Below are 22,439 nucleotides of genomic sequence, written 5' to 3'. Positions count from 1 at the left end.
CGATCTAACCCCATCTTGTTTGCAAAAGGGGGAGTTGAGGCCCCCAGAAGGAAGGAGCATAGCCAGGTTACATAAGCCAAAGTCAGCTAGAACGAGGATGGGGGGCGGTGGTATTCAGCCCCCACCTGGTGGCGGGGCTGACCTGGATTGGGGAGGGCTCCTGCCCTCGGGCTCAACCTGGGAGGATTCCTGTCCCCCAGACACCTCTGTCCCTGCCTCTCCCCTGACCGTTCTCTCAGACCTTATGGTACACATCGTGGATTTTTACCACTCTTTGCTACTTTATATGGGCCCATGGGCATAAGGGACTTTGGTGGGCACAGAGCGGCCAGGGGAGATCAACTCATAGACCCAGTGGGGCCCGGCACGTGTTTCCACTTCAGTAGATGAGGAAGATGCTAAGATGGCCTGGGACCCCCTGCCCAAGCACACTGTGGCATGGCCCTGAGCATGGGGATGACCCTGTCTCGTATCCCCTCTCCAGGCCCAGCCACTTCCCCACCCCTCAGCACGACCACCACAGCCAGGCCCACGCCCCTCACCAGCACAGCCTCGCCCGCAGCCACCACCCCGCTCCGCCGGGCACCCCTCACCACGCACCCAGTGGGTGCCATCAACCAGCTGGGACCTGATCTGCCTCCAGCCACAGCCCCAGTCCCCAGCACCCGGCGGCCCCCAGCCCCGAATCTACACGTGTCCCCTGAGCTCTTCTGCGAGCCCCGAGAGGTACGGCGGGTCCAGTGGCCGGCCACCCAGCAGGGCATGCTGGTGGAGAGGCCCTGCCCCAAGGGGACTCGAGGTGAGTACAGAGGCTGCAGCCAGGGGAGGGATGGGGGCCATGCCCCCAGCAGCTTAGCACAGATGCATGTGTGGGTGGGGGTCTCTACTGCGGAGCAGAGGTTTTCTGAGGGCAGGGGTCATCCCCAGTGACCAGCAGAGCTCTCAGGGCACAGGAGCCACTCAGTGCCCCTGGCCCCACCTGCAGAACCTGCAGGGAGTCCGCAGGAGGTGACCTGGCTCCCGGCCTCAGGCTGACCTGCCACAGCCCCAGGCACAGTCAGCTTCACATGGATGGCCAGCTGAAGTGCAAAAAGGGCAGGGCCGTGTGTCCTGGAGATCTGAGGGGAGGGTTGGCAGGTGCTTCGTGGAGAGGGGGCGTTCAAGATGGGCCTTGCTGGAAGGTTCTAACTCTGGAGGCAAAGACAGAAGGGGGCAGGAGGGAGAGCTCAGGGGAAGTGAGTGGCGCCTCTTTCGACTGTCCAGCCCGCTTCATGTCTGTTTCTCCGTGTTTCCCTCACCTCCCTCTTCGCCCGCTCGTCCCCCACTCTCTGTCATCTCCTTTCCCCCTCTCTGTCCCATCCTTCTCTTCTTCCCTTTGGCTCCCTTGTCTGTTCCTGTCTGTCTGTCCCTGCAGGAATTGCCTCCTTCCAGTGTCTACCAGCCTTGGGGCTCTGGAACCCCCGGGGCCCTGACCTCAGCAACTGCACCTCCCCCTGGGTCAACCAGGTGGCCCAGAAGGTACCAGCCACCACCCCTCGCAGGCAGGCACATGTGCTCGGGCCCAGGGCCCAGGGCCCAGCGGGGGTCGTGGAGCAGCTGGGGAGACATGGGCTGGCAGGTCTGGAAGGCAGGACTGTGGGGTCACCTCCCTGGCCTACAAAGGGAGCAGGGACAGATGGGGTGGGAAGGGGCAGATGGCGATGGGGAAGTGGAGAGAGAGATAGGAGAGGCTGCACAGGCCAGGGAAGCCGGGGAGGGCAGGATGGTCCCTGACAGTCCTGGGATTCCCCCTTCCCGCCCCCACCTCATGCAGATCAAGAGTGGGGAGAACGCGGCCAACATCGCCAGCGAGCTGGCCCGACACACCCGGGGCTCCATCTACGCGGGGGACGTCTCCTCCTCTGTGAAGCTGATGGAGCAGCTGCTGGACATCCTGGATGCCCAGCTGCAGGCCCTGCGGCCCATCGAGCGCGAGTCAGCCGGCAAGAACTACAACAAGGTGGGGCCTGGCGGTGGCGCTGACCTGGTATGGGGAGGGCGCCTGCCCCCAGGGGCTTGGGAAGTACCTGACCTGGTACCTCCCAGCCAGGCTGCCACCTCCACTCCTTTCCTCAGAGAGGAAGGACCCCCCCCTCTCCGCCAAGGACTGCCGGGTCTCACTCCTGTGCTGCCCCGGATGGTCCTGGGGGTTGGGGATCCCTGAGGAATGTCTTGCTGATAGCCCAGCCCTGGGTCAGTGGTAACCGCAGACGAGAGAGCTATCCAGATGTGACAGTATTAGGGTGAGGGAACCGGCACCCAGAGGCCTGGCCTGACATCACCTCCATCTCTTTCTAGATGCACAAGCGAGAGAGAACTTGTAAGGATTATATCAAGGTGAGACCCAGGGGGTCCCAGTGTAAGGACCGTGGGCTCCAGCTGATGGGGGGATTAGGGGTGGAGGTTGAGAAGAGGGCATGCAGAGCCCACCCCCAGGAATTAGAGGGTGTTGGGGGGCTCACAGCACCATGCCCTCTGCCTGTGCAGGCCGTGGTGGAGACAGTGGACAATCTGCTCCGGCCAGAAGCTCTGGAGTCCTGGAAGGACATGAATGCCACGGAGCAGGTGCACACGGCCACCATGCTCCTCGACGTCCTGGAGGAGGGCGCCTTCCTGCTGGCCGACAATGTCAGGGAGCCTGCCCGCTTCCTGGCTGCCAAGGAGAACGTGGGTGAGTGCCACAGTCACCCAGGGCAAACTCAGATACGAACCTTAAACCACGGGGTTCTGGCCTGGAGGCCACAGGGGGGCTATCCGACCCTTGGGCATCTTGCCAGAGTCTCGTTCTGCAGCCTGAGCCCCTGGACTGGGAACAGACCCCAACTGTGTATGCCTTGCCTTCCCCTGTCCCCACAGTCCTGGAGGTCACAGTCCTGAACACAGAGGGCCAGGTGCAGGAGCTGGTGTTCCCCCAGGAGGAGTACCCGAGAAAGAACTCCATCCAGCTGTCTGCCAAAACCATCAAGCAGAACAGCCGCAATGGTCAGTGTCCCCGGCGGGGCCTCGGGTGGGGAAGCAGCCCCACCCCCACCCCCCAGCTCTGTGCCAGCGTCTCTGTGCCATTTGTAGAGGGCAGCGGTGCTGACCTTTTCTCATGCTAGTGTAAAATTTGAGGGGATTCATGGGCCCTGAAGTGCTGCAGAGCCCTAAGGGTGAGCCTTACAGTTGCAAAGCTGGCTCCTGGGCCTCACAGCTCAGAGAGGATGGGGCCATTGAGATGAAGGCTCAGAGAGGTCAGGGGCTTGCCCAAGGTCACACAGTGAGAATGGGTGGGTCGGAGGCCCAGCTTGTGTGTCCTGGCACACTGCCCTGCTGTTTAGAACTGCCTTCAGCTGAGCAGTGGTCTTGTGGACAGGGCTCCCTGACCCCCACCTGCCTGGGCTATGGACTGGCTTCAGAGGTCCCAGTGGCCAGCGTGGCCAAGGGCTGAGGAGCTGGCTGAGCTGGGAAGCCAGGGGCCTGGATGGAGGTGCGCCAGCTGAGGATGCTGACACATCCAAACGTGCCTGTTCTCACCAGGGGTGGTCAAAGTTGTCTTCATCCTCTACAACAACCTGGGCCTCTTCCTGTCCACGGAGAATGCCACAGTGAAGCTGGCCGGCGAAGCAGGCCCGGGTGGCCCTGGGGGCGCCTCTCTAGTGGTGAACTCACAGGTCATCGCAGCATCCATCAACAAGGAGTCCAGCCGCGTCTTCCTCATGGACCCTGTCATCTTCACCGTGGCCCACCTGGAGGTGAGCTGAGCCGTCCCCCTCCCTCCATGGGGGTCCCTGTACCCTCTGTGTTCCCAGGCTGTGTACCTGCCCCTCCATGTGCTCACCTCCAGAACAAGTTATGGGTTCTTCCACTTTAGAGCTTGGGCCATTTGTCCCCAGAGCTCTCAGAATGTCAACTGGAGCCCCAGACCCCAGGCACTTCTTTGATACTTGGTACCATCCCTGTTGCCAGGTGTGGGGGGTCGGAATGGGACTCCCCGGTTCTGACTCTAGTTATGACACCCTGGTGCCACCACACAACAGGACAAGAACCACTTCAATGCTAACTGCTCCTTCTGGAACTACTCGGAGCGTTCCATGCTGGGCTACTGGTCGACCCAAGGCTGCCGCCTGGTGGAGTCCAACAAGACCCATACCACGTGTGCCTGCAGCCACCTCACCAACTTCGCTGTGCTCATGGCTCACCGTGAGATCGTAAGCTGGCTGGTGCTCTGCTCCTCCAGGCAGGCCCGATTGCTGGCCTGGCTTTGCATGGCATCCTAGAGAGATCACGGGCAGTACCAGGGGAGGCTAGCCCCATGGGTGTGGGGGGCCCCTGGTCTTGCCTGGGGCATGAGGCCATGCGTCTGGTCCTCTATGGCCATGATCCCACCGTCTCCCAAGGCACTCTGGAGAAGCAAGTTGGTGTTACGTTGGTCATCTCTCCACAAGCCTTCCAGAGCATGAGGAAGTGAGCGCATTGCTGCGTGCAGAGGGGTGAGGGCTGCCAGGTTGGCGGCACCAGAGGTCCTCACGGCCCATGGCCTTGCCCAGGGCCCTGTCTGTGGCTGGCACCTGGCTGAGCCCAGCGTGCAAAACCAAAGGCCCTGAGCGTGCCCCCTGTTCCTGTCCCCAGTACCAGGGCCGCATCAACGAGCTGCTGCTGTCGGTCATCACCTGGGTGGGCATTGTGATCTCCCTGGTCTGCTTGGCCATCTGCATCTCCACCTTCTGCTTCCTGCGGGGGCTGCAGACCGACCGCAACACCATCCACAAGAACCTGTGCATCAACCTCTTCCTGGCTGAGCTGCTCTTCCTGGTCGGGATCGACAAGACTCAGTATGAGGTGGGCTGGGACTCTAGGGCAGGTGACGGCCAGCGCCTGGGGGCCGGGAGAAGAAGGGGGACACCTGTCCAGGCAGCAGCCCCTCACCCTCAGTGCTCCCCGCAGATTGCCTGCCCCATCTTCGCCGGCCTGCTGCACTATTTCTTCCTGGCTGCCTTCTCCTGGCTGTGCCTGGAGGGCGTGCACCTCTACCTGCTACTAGTGGAGGTGTTTGAGAGCGAGTATTCCCGCACCAAGTACTACTACCTGGGTGGCTACTGCTTCCCGGCCCTGGTGGTGGGCATCGCGGCTGCCATTGACTACCGCAGCTACGGCACCGAGAAGGCGTGAGTTTCCACCTCCCAGCCCTGCACCCTCCCACCTGGTTCCCTGCTGGGCGGCACCCCTTGGACCAGGACCCTCAGGGCGGTAGTCCCTTCCTCCTCCTGATCCCAGAGGCTGCAGCCTGCAGAGTCCTAGGCCTTCATGAGTCGCTGGGAATGGCTCCTCGGCTTCTCTCTATACCCCGGCCCTGTTTCCTTTACAGCTGCTGGCTCCGAGTGGACAATTACTTCATCTGGAGTTTCATCGGGCCAGTCTCCTTCGTTATCGTGGTGAGTTGGGAGGTGACACCCCTAGCACCACATCTTCCTTCATCCAGGCTGGCCTTGACCCCAGCCCCTGCCCCCGCCCCCCACCCCCCCCACACACACACACACTCTCTCTCTCTCCACACATCGGAACTGAGCCACCGGCTGAGAGGATGAAAGTGTGCTGGGTCCATGGAGCTCCAGTGCTGAGGGCTGCTCGCCTGGGGGGCTGTGATTTGAGCCCCTAGTGTGTGTCAGGCCATGGGCCTTGTCCTCCCAGCAGCCAGGAGTGGCATTAAATTGCCGGTCATGCCAATCAGCTCACCGCTGCACAGCGGGCACCTCAGGGGCAGGTACGGGGTTCTCCCAGCAGAGGCGAGGGCCACAGCTGAGATTTCGCCAGGCTGGGCCCTAGCCTCAGTGCTCACTGAGGGAGGCAGGGCCACTCTCAGCCCAGCCTGCCCCTTGTCCCGCCCCCAGGTCAACCTGGTGTTCCTCATGGTGACCCTGCACAAGATGATCCGAAGCTCATCTGTGCTCAAGCCCGACTCCAGCCGCCTGGACAACATTAAGTGAGCCTCGCCCCTGCCTGCCCCCTGCCCCATCACCCACCCCCGCCCCACGCTGGGCCCACCTCTTCCAGGGTGTCCTAAAAGGTAGTGCTGTCACCTCTGGTGACACACATTGCAATTTTAAGTACCAACAGGGGTGTTCTATTGTGTTCACTATGTACCTACTTAATGGGTCTTAGATAGCGTATCATTAGCACGTCCAACCTGTGGTTTTAGGGGCATCGGTATGTAGGCTGAGGCTAAATTCAAAAGGTGAGTCTGTTTAAGGGCAACTTAAAGAGAAATAGGCAGCAAATATAGCCTAAGTGGTCTGGAAATTTAGCAGAAACAATGAAGTTGGCAGAGGAATAACTGATGTTCACAATACCCCGACCCCTGACCCAGTACCTTTCCCTCAGGCCCAGGCTCCGGTGGAGGTGTCCTGGGCAGGCCACTGCCCCCAAGGCCCACTCGGCCCGCTCAGGGCTTTGCAGACAGTGCCCAGGCCCACCCAAGGGCCCCCGTTGTAGGCTGCAGGGGAGGCCTGGGCTGAGGCCGTCCCCTCCGGCGGGTACTTTGACTCCCCTGTCGCCCCACTCCCAGATCCTGGGCGCTGGGGGCCATCGCGCTGCTGTTCCTGCTGGGCCTCACCTGGGCTTTCGGCCTCCTCTTCATCAACAAGGAGTCGGTGGTCATGGCCTATCTCTTCACCACCTTCAACGCCTTCCAGGGGGTCTTCATCTTCGTCTTTCACTGCGCCTTACAGAAGAAGGTGAGGTCGAGGCGGGGTCCTGGGTCACAGCCTCCCTTGGAGACGTTTCCTGGGTACCCAGGAGAAGGCGGCGAGGGTGGAGGGGACTCAGGGGCTCCCTCAAGCCCCCAGTGAGTGCTGCAGGGCTTCTGTGGTCAGGTCTGCGTCCACCGGGAGGGGAGCACGAGCTCAGGGTTAGGGAGGGTTTAACCACGGGTGAAGAGGGTTCTGGAAAACAAGATACAGCAACTTAGAGGAGTGAGAGCAGAACAGATTTGGTAATGGGGAACCCTCACCACCATGAGGGCCACGAGTCAGGCCTGGGAGAGGGAGGACTTTGGGAGCCACCCTGAGGGAGCACTGCCTACATTCATAGTTCTGGAAAGAATTGTGAATTTTGTGGTGATAGAAAGGATCTTTTTAAAATAAATGTGTTAAAATCTGAATCTTAAAAAAACATACAGTCCGGACACGGTGGCTCACGCCTGTAATCCCAGCACTTTAGGAGGCTGAGGCGGGCGGATCACCTGAGGTCAGGAGTTCCAGACCAGCCTGGCCAACATGGTGAAACCCCGTCTCTACTTAAAAAATATAAAAATTAGCCTGGTGTGGTGGTGGGCGCCTGTAGTCCCAGCTACTTGGGAGGCTGAGGGGCTGAGGCAGGAGAATTGCTTGAACCCCAAAGGCAGAGGTTGCAGTGAGCCAAGATTGCGCCACTGCACTCCAGTCTGGGCAACAGAGCAAAACTCTGTCTCCAAAACAAACAAACAAAAAAACCACACATACAAAGGGCTGGGTGCAGTGGCTCATGCCTGTAATCCCAGCACTTTGGGAGGCTGAGGCAGGAGGATTGCTTAAGCCCAGAAATTCAAGACCAGCCTGGGCAACAGAGACCCCGTCTCTATTTAAAAAAACCAAAGGGGACAACAGTAGCTGGGGAACATGGGCAGGGAATGGGGATACTGGCAGCACCCTCAGGACTGAAGCTGGGGAGACGGAGCTGAGGCATTTGTAGAGTCAGTCCTGGCAGCAGTGCAGGCCATGGAGACTGCTGTTGGACTTGGGGAGTGGTGAGGCAGGTAAGGCTTAAGGCAGGGGATGGCAGAGGCAGTGATCATGAGAATCCTGGTTGCAAGGGAGGAGGTGGCCTGTGTCCCTGCTCTGTCCAACATTGTCCTGGCCCCTCCTTGGACACACGGTCAAAGGCAGTGTTTTCACAGCCCCCACCTCACACGCAGTGGCAGCAATGTCCTTTCAGGGGACCCCAGGCCCCTATGGTCTGATCTGGGCCCCTCGGCTCCCCTCCCTCCAACCTCTGCTCTCAGACACCTAGATGTGGACCCTCAGGGTGCAGCCCCCGTTCTTACCTTGGCTTAAATGAGGCCTCCTCTGATCTATTTATTTTTTTAGGTTTTTTTTTTATTATCATTATTATTTTTGAGACAGAGTCTCGTTCTGTCCCCAGGCTAGAGTGCAATGGCGCGATCTCGGCTCACTGCAACCTCCACCCCCCCAGCTTCAAGCAATTCTCCTGCCAACTAGCTGGGATTACAGACGCCCACTGCCACGACCAGCTAATTTTTGTATTTTTAGTAGAGGTGGGGTTTCACCATGTTGCCCAGGCTGGTCTCGAACTCCTGACCTCAGGTGATCCACCCACCTCTGCCTTCCAAAGTGCTGGGATTACAGGTGTGAGCCACCATGCCTGGCCTCCTCTGATCTATTTAAAATCACAACCAGTCTGGCCAACATGGTGAAACCCCGTCTCTACTAAAAATACAAAAAAAAAAAAAAAAATTAGCCAGGTGTGGTGGTGTGCGCCTGTAATCCCAGCTACTCAGGAGGCTGTGGCAGGAGAATCGTGTGAACCAGGGAGGTGGAGGTTGCAGTGAGCCAAGATTGCACCATTGCACTCCAGCCCGAGTGACAGTGCAAGATTCCATCTCAAAAAAAAAAAAAAAAAAAAAATCACAACCTGCTCCCAAGTCAGCACTGCCTAACCCCCTTTCTGGCCATAGTTTTCTCCGCAGCACCTAACAGCATCCAACAGCTTGCATATTTATATTTTCATCTATGTTCTGTCTCTGTCTACTGAAATATAAGCTCTCAGAGGTAGGGATTTGTGTCTGTTGTGTTCCATACCTTCCCTGAGGCCTAAATTGTGCCTGGCACATAGCGGATGCTCAATAATGCTCTGTTGATTTTATGAATGAATGAAAAACTGTCAGAGGAGGTGGAGAAGAGGATGGGCCTGAGTAAGAAGAGAGTGAAACCTGATCGGCTGGCTGTTGGGGGACAGGGGACATCAAGGCTTCCGTGGCCTGCAAGTCGCTGAACAGGGGAACACAGTCATTGGAAGCTCGGTCTCCGGCCTCCCAAGGCTGCCTGTCTTGTGACCAGCCCTGTGGGAGACTGGATCACAGAGGAGGCCAGTGTCCCAGCCAGCTGACTGTCCTCCACCTCCCAGGTGCACAAGGAGTACAGCAAGTGCCTGCGTCACTCCTACTGCTGCATCCGCTCCCCACCCGGGGGCACTCACGGATCCCTCAAGACCTCAGCCATGCGAAGCAACACCCGCTACTACACAGGGACCCAGGTATCGGGCCAGACAGGACTCCCTGGGGCTGAGTGTTGGAACCTGGAGCCTGAGAGGTGGGGAGTGGCTTGGCCTAGGTTTCTGATCGTGATGATCAGGTGAGCAGTCTCAGAAAGACGCCAGAGGGTGGGTGGCCCAAGGATCCCCTCACATTTGGGTTGTGTTCCCAGAGCCGAATTCGGAGGATGTGGAATGACACTGTGAGGAAACAGACGGAGTCCTCCTTCATGGCGGGTGACATCAACAGCACCCCCACCCTGAACCGAGGTGAGAAGGCATCCTTCTGCCTCTGGCTTCAGTCTCTGGAGGCTCCCGGCTGCCTTGTGACCTCTGATCCTTTGGCCAGGTACCATGGGGAACCACCTGCTGACCAACCCCGTGCTGCAGCCCCGTGGGGGCACCAGTCCCTACAACACCCTCATCGCCGAGTCAGTGGGCTTCAATCCCTCCTCGCCCCCTGTCTTCAACTCCCCAGGTGAGAGCACGGGGGAAACATCCCAGGTTGGGAAATGGAGGGTTTGTGTCCCAAGGGACCTCTGCATGGGATGTTCTGTGCCCCAGAACTGGAGCCTGGACTTGCATTTCGAGCTCATCCTTGCCTTTTCTCTTCTCTCTTCTGGCTGCCACCTGCAGGGAGCTACCGGGAACCCAGTAAGTGTGACTCTTCCCTGGGGATGTTTCTGAGGCTGGGAGAGGGACAGACAGTGGCCTTCTCAGACGGCCTCACTTAAGGAGGAGAACTCGGGATGCCTCCCCATGCCCACATTTCCCCACCCCCCGACACACAGCCTCTGGCAGCCGAATGGAGGATAATGGATGGTGTTCATTGAGTTTGGGCTGTTAAGTGCTGAGGGTCTGAGCACAGGAAAGCGATCCTGTTGCCCAGGCCTCCTCACACTGCTGAGATTCTGAACCTCCAGCTGGGGATGAGATCCTGGGGGAACTGGTCCTTGTCCCCCACCTTTCATCAATACGCTGCTGGGCTGGTGTGTCTAGTGCCAGTGAGGGAGAAAGGGAATGTGAGATCAGAGATCCAGGGGGCAGGGGGAAGCCTACGGAAAACCAGCAGGAATCAAGCCCACTTCTCCACATGGACCGCACCCCCTCACTGTCCCCTAGTGCATCCAGGGCCCCTCTTCAACCTGACCAGCCCCTTTCTGCCCTGCAGAGCACCCCTTGGGAGGCCGGGAAGCCTGTGGCATGGACACCCTGCCCCTGAACGGCAACTTCAATAACAGTTACTCCTTGCGAAGTGGGGATTTCCCTCCCGGGGATGGGGGCCCTGAGCCGCCCCGAGGCCGGAACCTAGCCGATGCGGCGGCCTTTGAGAAGATGATCATCTCAGAGCTGGTGCACAACAACCTGCGGGGGAGCAGCAGCGCGGCCAAGGGCCCTCCACCGCCTGAGCCCCCTGTGCCACCTGTGCCAGGGGGCGGGGGCGAGGAAGAGGCGGGCGGGCCCGGGGGTGCTGACCGGGCCGAGATTGAACTTCTCTATAAGGCCCTGGAGGAGCCTCTGCTGCTGCCCCGGGCCCAGTCGGTGCTGTACCAGAGCGATCTGGACGAGTCGGAGAGCTGCACGGCCGAGGACGGCGCCACCAGCCGGCCCCTCTCCTCCCCTCCTGGCCGGGACTCCCTCTATGCCAGCGGGGCCAACCTGCGGGACTCACCCTCCTACCCGGACAGCAGCCCTGAGGGGCCCAGTGAGGCCCTGCCCCCACCCCCTCCCGCACCCCCCGGCCCCCCCGAAATCTACTACACCTCGCGCCCGCCAGCCCTGGTGGCCCGGAATCCCCTGCAGGGCTACTACCAGGTGCGGCGTCCTAGCCACGAGGGCTACCTGGCAGCCCCAGGCCTTGAGGGGCCAGGGCCCGATGGGGACGGGCAGATGCAGCTGGTCACCAGTCTCTGAGGGCACCTCATGGACCAGGGGCTGGTGGCCCAGGCCAGGGAGGGAACCCTGGGCAGGGCTCTGGTGGGAGAGGGAGACAGATGGAGGCAGTGGCTGGTGGGCCACTCTCTCCAGGTGCCCCTCAGCCATGGGCCCTACAGTCCCCTCAGGGGACTCTAACCTGGGGGCCTGAGGTGCCAGGGTTCACAGACAGGGTTTCCCACCAGCCACACGCACCAGCTCTATTTGGGGGAAGTGTAGTGAGGAGGAGCCCAGAGGACCCCAGGGGAGTGAGGAGGGAGAACTTGGAAGGGTGCAGCCCACTTCCAGACTCTCCCCTCTCCCACCCTTCTACCCTGTGAAGGGAAATGAGGGCTTTAGTTTCCTGGGCAGGGAGGGGCAGCTTCTGAGGTTGCCAAAGGCCCCCACTGGATGGAACCTGTTAGCTGCTCCTCTCCGCAGCCAGAAATGCTGCCGGCTGCACCCAGAGGGAGCAGTGAGGCAGGACAGATGGACAGGTTCCTCCTGCGCTGTAATTCCCTGCTCCCTGGAGACTGGGAAAAGGCCGCAGGGCAGGGGGACTGGGCGGTGGTGGCTGGTGGTTTAAAGGTTGAACTTTCTCTGAAGCTCCTTTCCCCTTGCTCTTGGTCCCTGCCCCGCAAGCAAACCTGCCCCCTCTGCCTCCCAGTGCACCCAATGACCCCCTCCCTTGGGGCGACTCCTGATGAAGCACAACTCCCCGCAGGGCCCCCAGCCCACAGGGGTGGCCATATTTGGGCAGTTCCCAGTCCTGTGGGCTCGGCTATCTGGGGAGCAGATTTTGGGTCTGGATCTCCCTGGGGAGTGGGTCCTGGGCTTGGATCTTTCCCTAGGGGGCCCTCTTACTCCTTCCTCTCTCCTCCTCCTTCCCCATTGCTGTAAATATTTCAACGAAATGGAAAAGAAAAAAAAAAGACAAAAAAAAAAAAAAAGAAAAGAAAAAAAATCTCATCACTTGAAGCCACCGGGAGCCTGCGGCCCGGGCCAGCCCGGGCTTTCTCCGGAGCAGAGCAGCGCTGCTGGCCTGGCAGCCAGGACTTCTCCGTGTACGTGCATCCCCAGTCCCCGCCGGGGCGGGCGGGCCGCCAGAGCAGCTTTTTACAATCCAGAGACAGAAAACAAAATCTAGATGCAACAGCGAAACAAAGAACCCATTTCCTTCCTGGCACCCTCCTTTCCTGCTCCGCCTGCCCGGCATCATCAGCCCTTCTGGGGCGTGTACCTCTCACTGCCTGCCCCAGGACCAGAGGCCTGTCTCCCCCTTCCCTCCCCACCGGCCCGGGGGAGACCTCTTCACACCCAAAGATGCTTTGTCAAGATGGCTGCGCTGTCCCTTTGAGTTCCTGCTTCTTGTATATTGCTCTGGGGACTCTCGCCGGGGAAGATGGGGCTGATTTCCCACCTAGAGAGGTTGATGGCAGAAGGAAAATGGGGAGGCACTGGGGTTGTGGAGGGCATGGGTATGGCTGAGGAGGGTGCTGGGAACGGCAAGGCGGTCTGGGGGATGGGGAGGGGCAAAGGTGAGAGATCACCTTCCCTATCCTCCACCTTCCCGCAGGGAAGACGAAGCCAGGTGCCAGGGCTGGGGTCGGGACACCCATGTTCTGGGCGGCTTGACCCCAAATCCCAGACCCCGGAAGCTCCAGGCTCGGGATGTGTCCTGAGCACCTGTCCCGGCCCCCTCCTCTCCAGCCTGTCAGGCCAGCCTCCCCAGCCCCCTTCCCTCAACTCTAGGGGCAGCATAGCCCCAGGCCACCCTAGCCCAGCCCCTGCATTGCCGTTTCCCCAGAGGTGGCCCCTCCACCTCTGCTCTGACCTCTCCCCATCTCTCTGCCCCTCCTTTTCTCACAAGTGCCATGAGTTTTCAAACATCTTCGGGTCTCAGCCTGCTGCTGCCATGAACTTTGTTGGGTTAAGGGGGAGGGGCTCTAGGAAGGAACTGGGGGGAAGGGGACAGGTAGGTGGCTGGAGGGACCCTTTTTGCTGCTAGAAAGCCCCTCCCTTCTCCCGGGGAGCTGGGGCTGGCTTGTCCCCATCAATTAGGGGAGAAGGGGTCAGACCAAAGATGGTGGTTTGTCCCGTGTAAGGGAACAGGTGTGGGGAAGAGGTGGGGTTGGGTTCCAACTCTGGCTTTTTCTGGTAGAAAGGCCTAACCCATTACACCAGAAGACCATGGGTGAAGTCTAGATGGGGAGGAGAAGTGAGGCCAGGGACAGTCTTGCCAGACGACTCTGAGGAGGGCAAGGGACAGTTCCATGGCCCTTCCCGGACTGCACTAGGCTGGGAGCTCTGTTGTGTGGAGGGGTGGTCAGAGGTCTGTGAAGAGCGGGCAGGAGGCATGAGCAGGCGAGGAGCTGGCCTGTCCCGGGAAGCAGCCCAGCCTGTGGCTGCCCCCGACACCAGGAGGAGGGCCAGGAGAGTTCCAGGGGGCTGAGGCACACAGAGAGGCCAACTTCCTCCCTGCCCAGCCTTCCTTGTATCTCTCCAGACTCGGACAATCAAAGGGAGAGAGGGTGTATCGGGTCCTGTTCCAGCCGGCATCGCCGGGTGGCTTCCAGGCCTCAGAGCTGTGTGGCAGGGCCCCCTGCTGGGGCTGGACATCACTGCAGTCCAGTGCAAAGCCGCCCCCAGAGCCCAGGTGTCCCCCCAACCTAACCAGACCTGGTGCCTTGACGCCCCCACCCCAGCTGGGACGGTACAGAGAAGGGTCTTGGTTTCCTCTCCTACTCCCTTCCTTAGGCTCCTGAACTCGTTTGCTCCTAAATCTTGTTAATTCTTTTTCTCTGGATTTTGGTTTCTTTTGGCTTTCCCTTGCCTTCCCCTTTCTCTGTCTCCAACACTCTTTCCCCATGTCTTTCTGGCTGTCTCTATGTTCCTCTTCTCTTATCCTCAACTTTCTGTCCATTCGGGCCTCCTCCCCACCTCCCACGCCCCAGCCCCTCCCTCCTTGGTCTCCTTTTCGATATGCCAAACCAATTTTGGGTCGAGTGCATTTAACGAGAACAAAACAAAAGGCTCATAACAACAAGAACGTTTCAGAAAAAAACAAAAAGTTTTAAAAAAATTGTTGAGTCAAAAAGTCAAACAATAAAGAAATTAAGATTTCTTGGAATGACAAGAGTGGTGTGACTTCTTGAGTGGGGGAGTAAGAAATGGGTGAATAGCTGGGCGCGGTGGCTCAGGCCTGTAATCCCAGCATTTTGGGAGGCCGAGGTGGGTGGATCACTTGAGGCCAGGAGTTTGAGACTAGCCTAGTCAACATGGTGAAACCCCATCTCTACTAAAAAGACAAAATTAGCTGGGCGTGGTGGCAAGCACCTGTGGTCCCAGCTACTTGGGAGGCTAAGGCAGGAGAATTGCTTGAACCCGGCTGGGAGGCAGAGGTTGCAGTAAGCCAAGATCGTACCACTGCACTCCAGCCTGGGCTATAGAGTGAAATTCTGTCTCAAAAAAGAAAGAAAGAAATGGTTGAGCAGATCTGCACAGGGGCGTCCCCATGGGCTCTGGTCTGCACTCGAGCATTCAGAACCCCTGGCAGAGGCTTGACAGTTATAGAATCATTCACGTTTATGAGACCTTGGTAAGTTCCTGGGCCTGGTGGAGCATTTCATGTGCAGTTTCTCTGAATCCTCACAAAATCCTCCCAGATGGAGACAGCGATTAGAGTTCCATTTTACAGATGGGGAAACTGAGGCTTACAGCCCTCAGATGCATGCCCAAGTCTCTCTGACCAGGCCACTGTTCCATGCTGTCTCACAGAAGCCCTTCTTGGCCCAGACGTCTGTCCCCAGGCTGTACTAGAGCAGAGCTCAGGAATTTTACACTGTGATGTCTCATTACAATTGCCATTCCTACACTCCCACACGCTACTGGCAGGGAGTGCTTTCAAACTTGACACACGGTGGAATTGCATCATGTGTATTTCACGTTGTCAGTTCACCAACGAACTGCCCATGCTCAGAGAGAGGCATAACTACTCAAACTACAAGGATCCTTTTCCGGGCCCCTCTGCCTTAAAAAGATACCTGTGTCTAGGACACCACCCACCTCCCCACAACAGCCACTCCTTCCCAGTCTTCATGGCTGGCTCCTTCTCATCTGACCTCCTAATGATGGGGAACCCAGGGGCTCAGTCCTTAGACCTTTTCTCTCACTCCCTGGAAGGTTTCACCCCATCTCATGGTTTGAAATGCCTCCGGGTGGGTGCAGTGGCTCATGCCTGTAATCCCAACACTTTGGGAGGCCGAGGCAGGCAGATCACGAGGTCAGGAGTTCGAGACCAGCCTGGCCAACAAGGTGAAATCCCGTCTCTACTAAAAACACAAAAATTAGCTGGGTGTGGTGGCGAGCGCCTGTAGTCCCAGCTGCTCAGGAGGCTGAGGCAGGAGAATCGCTGGAACCCAGGAGGCGGAGGTTGCAGTGAGCTGAGATCGCACCACTGCACTCCAGCCTGGGCGACTGAGACTCCATCAGAAGAAAGAAAAGAAAGAGAAGAGAAAGGAAAAGAGAAACGGAGAAAGAAAGAGAAAGGAAGGAAAGAAGAAAAAGAAAAGAAAGAAAAGGAAAGAAAGAGAAAGAGAGAGAGAGAGAGAAAGAAACGCTACCTATACACTGATCACCCCCAAACGTAGCTCTCCAGCCTGAACTCCTACCTGAGCTCCAGATTTACATATATTCACCTACCTACCCCATCTCTCTGCCTGGTATCTGGTAGGATCTCAAACTAACCTGTCCTAAACTGAGACCCTGGCCTCTCCCACCCCCATCTCTACCACTGCCACCACTGTAGTTCTTCCCACGTGAGGCTTTGAGGCTTCCTCACCTCAACTAAAAGTGAGTCCATCCATACCTTGATTCAAGCTAAAGACCTTGGAGCTTCTCTTGAACTCATCTTGTTTGATACCCCACATCTAATTTGACAGTAAATGCAATGGTGGCTCTAACTTCTAAATATCCAGAATTAATTAGTTCTCACCCATCTTTCACCAGAGCCACTACAACAGTCCCCTAAATATTATAGCTCGTTTGTCCCTCTTCAGGTTTTTCTCAACACAGAAACCAGAGTGATCTTGGTAAACAGATTTTGTCCCTCCTCAGCTCAAAACTCTCCAATGCTCTCCTATCTCACCCAAAGCACAGGTAAAGGTCAACACAATGGCCTACAGGCCCTCCAACCTCACCCCCTGGCGTCCTCCCTACCTTCCGTCCACTCGCTGGACTCAAACATGCAGGCACCCTCTTGCCTGCCTCAGGGCTTTTGCACCGGCTGTTCTCGCTGCTGGCTTGGGCCCCCTCCCCCATCCCCATATCCACAGAGTTGACTTCCTCTCCTGCAGAGTTTATGAAAATGAAATCCTATTTCCCAGAAGGCCTTCCCAAGCCACTCCAGAACTTCCTAGTCTGTGCCTTGCTCTGTCTTCATAGTACTACTGGCTAGCAATTACGTTTTGCTTATCTGTTTATTATCTGCCTCTTGGCTAGAATGTAAGATCTGAAAATGCAAGGGTTCTTGATCTGAGCCTAGCATAGCATCTGGCACACAGGCGATATGTAAATTTCTGTTAAAGAATGGGAGCTGAATTCAGCACAAGACCCAAAGTGAGCACAAGATGAGAGTGAAGGGCGATGGAAGCTCTTCAATAAGGATAAAGAAATATATTAAAAAGAAAAAAAAGAATGATAGAAACTGTGAATCTACCATTCCCTCAGCGGGTTCAGTTTCACCGTGTGATGCTAAGGTTTTAATTCAGCGTGGCTCCAAAAACCTAAGATCAGTATTTCCTCTGGTGCCCAGCTGAAGAAGAGGTAATCTGTTCTCACACTGGAGGATGAAATGAATCTACTAGACTTTCTGAGAGATGCACTGTGGGCAAGCATGGGGACTTTTAAGAGTAGATAATTGTAGCCAGGCACAGTGGCTCATGCCTGTATTCCCAACACTTTGGGAGGCCGAGGTGGGCAGATCGCTTGAGGCCAGGAGTTCGAGACCAGCCTGGCCAACATGGCAAAACTCTACTAAAACTACAAAAATTAGCTGAACGTGGTGGTGCACGCCTGTAATCCCAGTTATTCAAGAGGCTGAGGCAGGAGAATTGCTTGAACCCCAAAAGGCAGAGGTTGCAGTGAACCAAGATCACACTCCACTCCAGCCTGGGTGACAGAGCAACACCACGTCTCAAAAAAAAAAAAAAAAAAAAAAGAGTAGATAATTTTAACTATATGTGATTTGACCTCATGCTCTGATTTGAAATCGAATCCCGCATACAATGAGAGCCAAATATGACCAGTCCTTCTGTGTCTTTTACTCTCCCCTTCACTACACACAACCTAAACCCACTGTGCCTGACTGGACGCGGTGGCTCACGCCTGTAATCCCAACACTTTGGAGGCCAAGGCGGGCGGATCACCTGAGGTCAGGAATTCAAAACCAGCCTGGCCAACATGGCAAAACCCCGTCTCTACTAAAAAAAAAAAAAGAAAAAAAAATTAGCCAGTTGTGGTGGTGGGCGCCTGTAGTCCCAGGTACTCGGGACTGGGAGGCAGAGGTTGCAGTGAGCCGAGGTCACGCCACTGCACTCCAGCCTGGCGACAGAGTGAGACTCTGTCTCAAAAATAAAAATAAACCTGCTGTGCCTGACAACCTCTGACCCTCAGGTAGTTGTTAGTGGCACCCATTCATCTGCATGTGCCTAGGGACGGTACATTTATGCTGAAATGTATCATTTCAAAGCTCTTTCCTACATTTTGTCTCATTTAATTCTCAGAATATATGTTTTGTTTGTTTATTTTTGAGACAGAGTCTCACTCTGTTGCCCAGACTGGAGTGCAGTGGTGCAATCTCAGCTCACTGCAACCTCAGCCTCCCGGGTTCAAGAGATTCTCCTGCCTCAGCCTCCTGAATAGCTGGAATTACAGGCACCCGCCGCCAACCCCGGCAACTTTTTGTATTTTTAGAAGAGATAGGGTTTAGCCATGTTGGCCAGGTTGGTGTCAAACTCCTGACCTCAGGTGACCCGCCCGCCTCGGCCTCCCAAAGTGCTGGGACTACAGGCATGAGAGACTGGTCCAAAAAGCTATTCGGGAGGCTGAGGCAGGAGAATTGCTTGAACCCGGGAGGCGGAGGTTGCAGTGAGCCAAGTTCACACCATTGCACTTCACCCTGGGCGACAAAGCAAGACTTTGTCTCAAATAATAATAATAATAATAATAATTTTTAAAAATGCTGAACATCAAAACATTATAAAAATTAAAAGATGTCTGGGTGCGGTGGCTCATACATGTAATCCCAGCACTTTGGGAAGCTGAGGCGGGCAGATCACCTAAGGTCAGGAGTTCGATACCAGCCTGGCTAACATGGTGAAACCCCATCTATACTAAAAATACAAAAATTAGCCAGGCGTGGTGGTGCACACCTGTAATCCCAGCTACTCAGAAGGCTGAGACAAGAGAATCGCTTGAACCCGGGAGGCGGCGCTTGAACCCGGGAGGCCGAGATCGTGCCATTGAACTCTAGCTTGGGCAACAAGAGCGAAACTCTGTCTCAAAAATAAAAATAAAAATAAAAGATAAGGACACTGAGCAACAGGAACACTAACGAGGGGAGTGAGAACCAGTACCATGATTCCGAAGAGCAGATTAGCAGTATCTTGAAAAGATGAATACTTCCGCAACCCCCCGTCCAGCACTTCAACTCCTAGGTTTATCTCCCAGAGTAACTCCTACATGTGTTCAAGGAGACATAGATACCAACGCATACTGCAGCACTGTTTGTAATGGTAGAAAACTGAAAACACCCTAAATTTCAACCAAGTGAATTGATAAACACTGTCCAACAAAACTCTCTGTTCTCATGGAAATGTTTCCTCTCTATGTTCTCTATACACCATGGTGGCCACTAGCCACAGGCTCCTGCTGAACATGTGAAATGTGACTAGTGTGTCTGGGGAAGTAGATTATTTGTTTCGTCTAATTTTAATCTAAATAGCCACATGTGGCTAGTGGTTACCTTATCAGCACAGCTGTATAGCAGTGAAAATAAGTGAATTAGAGCTATACACGTTTCCACATAGATAAATCTCAAAAGCATTACACTGGATTAAAAAAAGCAAGTTTCAGAAGGCAGGACCCAGTGCCACCTTAGTGCCAGCTCTGTCAGGATACACCCAGTATGATCCTGCTATCAGAGGTCCCCAAGACCACCCTGAGGTTCAATGACTCACTAAGAGGAGTCACAGGATTTTGCTTGGAAGCGTAGGCATGGCTGTGATTTATGATAGTGAAGAGACACAAGGCACAATCAGCAAAGGGAAAAGATGCAGGAGCTGAAGTCCAGAGGAAACCAGGACAAGCTTCTAAGAGTCCTCTCCTAGTGGAGTCACACAGGACTCCATCAATTCCTACCGCCAAGTATGACAGCACGACGGATAGGCGGTCTACCAGGGAAGCTCATTACTCAGTGACCAGAGTTGTACTTGGGGGTGGTCGTGTACCAAAATGCCAGACTCCAGAAGGAGAGCAGGTGTTCAACATGAACCACATTGTTGGTGGAAACAGTTTAGGCACTCATCATTTGGGGAACGGCAGGAACCCTCCTGAAATCCAAGTTCCTAGATATCAGCCAAGGGCCAATCTTGCAAACAGGTCTTTCTAAGGATAGCAGTCTCAGGCCTGCTAGGTTAACTCTAAATTGCGCAGACACCATTTATATAAAAGTATAGAACATGACAAACAATACTATATATTGTTTAAAGATACACGCCGATATGCACAGAAGACTGTAAACACCAAATTCAGGGTTGTGGTTACATGTGAGGAAAAAGGAAGAGGAATGGGTTTGATGTAGGGGTATAGGGCCCTTCAGTTGCATCTCTAATGTTTTAGCTGTTAAGCTGGGTAACAGTATTTTGCTATAGCACTTCTTATACTTTCTCGAGCATGTGTGCACCTGAAGTATTAAACAAGAATGAAGACGTATCTGCTTATTACTATATGCTACTAACAGTTCAGTCTTTTGTTTGTTTTTAGACAGGGTCTCACTCTGTTGCCTAGCTAAGCTGGAGTGCAGTGGTGAGATCTTGGTTCACTGCAACCTCTGCCCCCAGGGCTCAAGCAATCCTCTCACCTCAGCCTCCTGAGTAGCTGGGACCACAGGCACATGCCACCACACCCGGCTAATTTTTTTATGTTTTGTAGAGACAGGGTTTTGCCCAGGCTGGTCTCGAACTCCTGAGGTCAAGCAATCTACCCGCCTCAGCCTCCCAAAGTGCTGGGATTACAGGCGTGAGCCACTGCACCTGGCTGGTTCATGTTTATTGAGTACTTTTCACATTCCAGGTACTATGCTAAACCCACCCTTTACATAGATTTATTCTTTTTTTTTTTGAGACGGAGTCTTCCTCTGTCACCAGACTGGAGTGCAGTGGTGCAATCTAGGCTCACTGCAACCTCCACCTCCCAGGTTCAAGCAATTCCCCTGCCTCAGCCTCCCAAGTAGCTAGGACTACAGGTACGCACCACCACGGCTGGCTAATTTTTTGTATTTTAGTAGAGACAGGTTTTAATCATGTTTGCCATGATGGTCTCGATCTCCTGACCTGGTAATCCGCCCACCTCGGCCTCCCAGAGTGTGTGACTCACTGCGCCCAGCCAGATTTATTCTTTTTGAAAAATTGATTGAGGACTTTCTATGAGCCACGTCCTCTGCTAAGCTCTGGAAGTACAACATTGAGAGGTGTGAGCTAGGCGAGATCTCTTCTCACAACCAGCTTTCAATCTACTGAGGGATGATGAGATAATAAGCACAATTTAAAACCAAAATAAGTAGAAATTCTTTTTTTCTTTTTAAGATGGAATCTCTCTCAGTTGCCCAGGCTTGAGTGCAGTGGCGTGATCTCGGCTCATTGCAGCCTCTGCCTCCCCGGTTCAAGCAATTCTTCTGCCTCCTGAGCAGCTGGGACTACAGGCACGTGCCACCACGCCCAGCTAATTTATTTATTTATTTATTTATTTATTTTGTATTTTTTTTTTTTAGTAGAAACGGGGTCTTGCCATGTTGGCCAGGCTGGTCTCGAACTCCTGACCTCAAGTGACCGGCCCGCCTTGGCCTCCTAAAGTGCTGGGATTATAGGTGTGAGCCACCATGCCCACCCGAAAATAAGTACAAATTCTGATATGCGTTACTAAGATCATAAAACTGAGTGATGTGATTAAGAAAAAGCTACTTTATTTATTTATTTATTTTTTTTGACACGGAGTCTTGCTCTGTCACCCAGGCTGGATTGCAGAGGCACGATCTCAGCTCACTGCAACCCTCACCTCTCAGATTCAAGCGATTCACCTGCCTCAGCCTCCCAAGTAGCTGGGACTACAGGCGCCCGCCACCACGCCCGGCTAATTTTTTGTATTTTTAGTAGAGATGCGGTTTCACCATGTTAGCCAGGATGGTCTCGATCTCCTGACCTCGTGATCCGCCTGCCTTGGCCTCCCAAAGTGCTGGGATTACAGGCATGAGCCACCGCGCCCGGCCAAGAAAGTGCTACTTTAAATAGGGTACTCTGGGAAGTCTTCTTTCAGAGGACATTTGAGCTGAACCACAAGCGAAGAGAAAGAGACAGCCATGCAATTATCTGGAGGAAGCACATTCCAGGCAGAGGGAACGGCAAGTGCAAAGCCCTGCGGCAGAAATAAGCTGGGTGTGTTGAAAGAAGGGAAATAAAGCCAGCTGGGCTTGAGAGCGGTGACAAGAGGAAGAATGGTAGATGAGGCCTGAGAGGTCAGCTGAGGCCACCACGCAGGGCCGCCTAAGCCATAGGAAAGATCTTAGGTTTCATTCTAAGTAGGATAAGCCTCTGAAGGTTTTAAGCAGAGTAATGACATGATCTGGTTTACAAGTGAAGATCATTCAGCCAGCTGTAAGGAGAATGCATCATAGACAGGGCCACATTCTTCATTAGCGCCACGGAAATAATGCTGGTGGATCATGAGCTTCTCAGGGGCTACGAAAAGGTCAGGGACAGGGATAAAGGGAAAAAAGTTCCACAATGCAAAGAGAAAACTACAAAGTTGGAATGAATAAATGTTTAATTAAGCATCTAGAAATGTGACATCATGACAACTGCATTAATCATTAAATTTAGTATTCATAAGCAATCGAATTACATTTGGAAATTAGATTTTCTCAAATC

At 55.0% G+C, this 22,439-nt stretch overlaps 1 protein-coding gene and 1 long non-coding RNA gene across 22 annotated transcripts in view, besides 2 other annotated features; one reads left to right on the top strand and one right to left on the bottom strand.

Annotated features, from left to right (window-relative positions):
• ADGRL1 (adhesion G protein-coupled receptor L1) overlaps positions 1-14,368 on the top strand; it is a 58,427-nt gene extending 44,059 nt beyond the window's left edge. For 14 of the 21 annotated variants that reach the window (XM_005259818.4, XM_011527798.3, XM_011527796.3 and 11 more), the window contains 18 exons: positions 485-799; positions 1,415-1,518; positions 1,814-1,999; positions 2,338-2,376; positions 2,527-2,710; positions 2,896-3,021; positions 3,559-3,773; positions 4,059-4,229; positions 4,651-4,860; positions 4,966-5,186; positions 5,387-5,453; positions 5,910-6,001; positions 6,584-6,752; positions 9,199-9,327; positions 9,498-9,594; positions 9,674-9,802; positions 9,889-9,978; positions 10,496-14,368. In XM_005259818.4, coding sequence (XP_005259875.1) covers positions 485-799; positions 1,415-1,518; positions 1,814-1,999; positions 2,338-2,376; positions 2,527-2,710; positions 2,896-3,021; positions 3,559-3,773; positions 4,059-4,229; positions 4,651-4,860; positions 4,966-5,186; positions 5,387-5,453; positions 5,910-6,001; positions 6,584-6,752; positions 9,199-9,327; positions 9,498-9,594; positions 9,674-9,802; positions 9,889-9,978; positions 10,496-11,238 — 3,287 coding nt within the window. In that variant the 3' untranslated portion in view covers positions 11,239-14,368. Of the gene's footprint in view, positions 1-484; positions 800-1,414; positions 1,519-1,813; positions 2,000-2,337; positions 2,377-2,526; positions 2,711-2,895; positions 3,022-3,558; positions 3,774-4,058; positions 4,230-4,418; positions 4,512-4,650; positions 4,861-4,965; positions 5,187-5,386; positions 5,454-5,909; positions 6,002-6,583; positions 6,753-9,198; positions 9,328-9,497; positions 9,595-9,673; positions 9,803-9,888; positions 9,979-10,495 lie in introns of those variants that run through there. The other 7 variants (NM_014921.5, NM_001008701.3, XM_017026478.2 and 4 more) reach the window with 3 other exon arrangements.
• ADGRL1-AS1 (ADGRL1 antisense RNA 1) overlaps positions 1-22,439 on the bottom strand; it is a 34,113-nt gene that overhangs the window by 9,154 nt on the left and 2,520 nt on the right. Inside the window, exon 2 of the long non-coding RNA NR_045214.1 lies at positions 6,632-6,959. This is a non-coding gene — a long non-coding RNA (ADGRL1 antisense RNA 1). The remainder of the gene's footprint in view (positions 1-6,631; positions 6,960-22,439) is intronic.
• Positions 13,490-14,233: an enhancer, noted in NCBI's record as "H3K27ac-H3K4me1 hESC enhancer chr19:14258690-14259433 (GRCh37/hg19 assembly coordinates)". NCBI's record gives its function as "activates a minimal SCP1, AML or CMV promoter by ChIP-STARR-seq in naive H9 embryonic stem cells {active_cell/tissue: H9 hESC(naive)}" and the evidence as "EXISTENCE:reporter gene assay evidence [ECO:0000049][PMID:30033119]".
• Positions 18,840-19,134: a silencer, noted in NCBI's record as "tiled region #12148; HepG2 Repressive non-DNase unmatched - State 23:Low". NCBI's record gives its function as "represses a minimal TATA promoter and a strong SV40 promoter by Sharpr-MPRA in HepG2 cells {active_cell/tissue: HepG2}" and the evidence as "EXISTENCE:reporter gene assay evidence [ECO:0000049][PMID:27701403]".

The sequence above is a fragment of the Homo sapiens genome, chromosome 19 (assembly GCF_000001405.40).
Source record: "Homo sapiens chromosome 19, GRCh38.p14 Primary Assembly".
Lineage (NCBI taxonomy): Eukaryota > Metazoa > Chordata > Mammalia > Primates > Hominidae > Homo > Homo sapiens.
The sequence above is the reverse complement of the archived record's forward strand: the minus strand, read 5'-3'. Positions and strand labels throughout refer to the sequence as shown.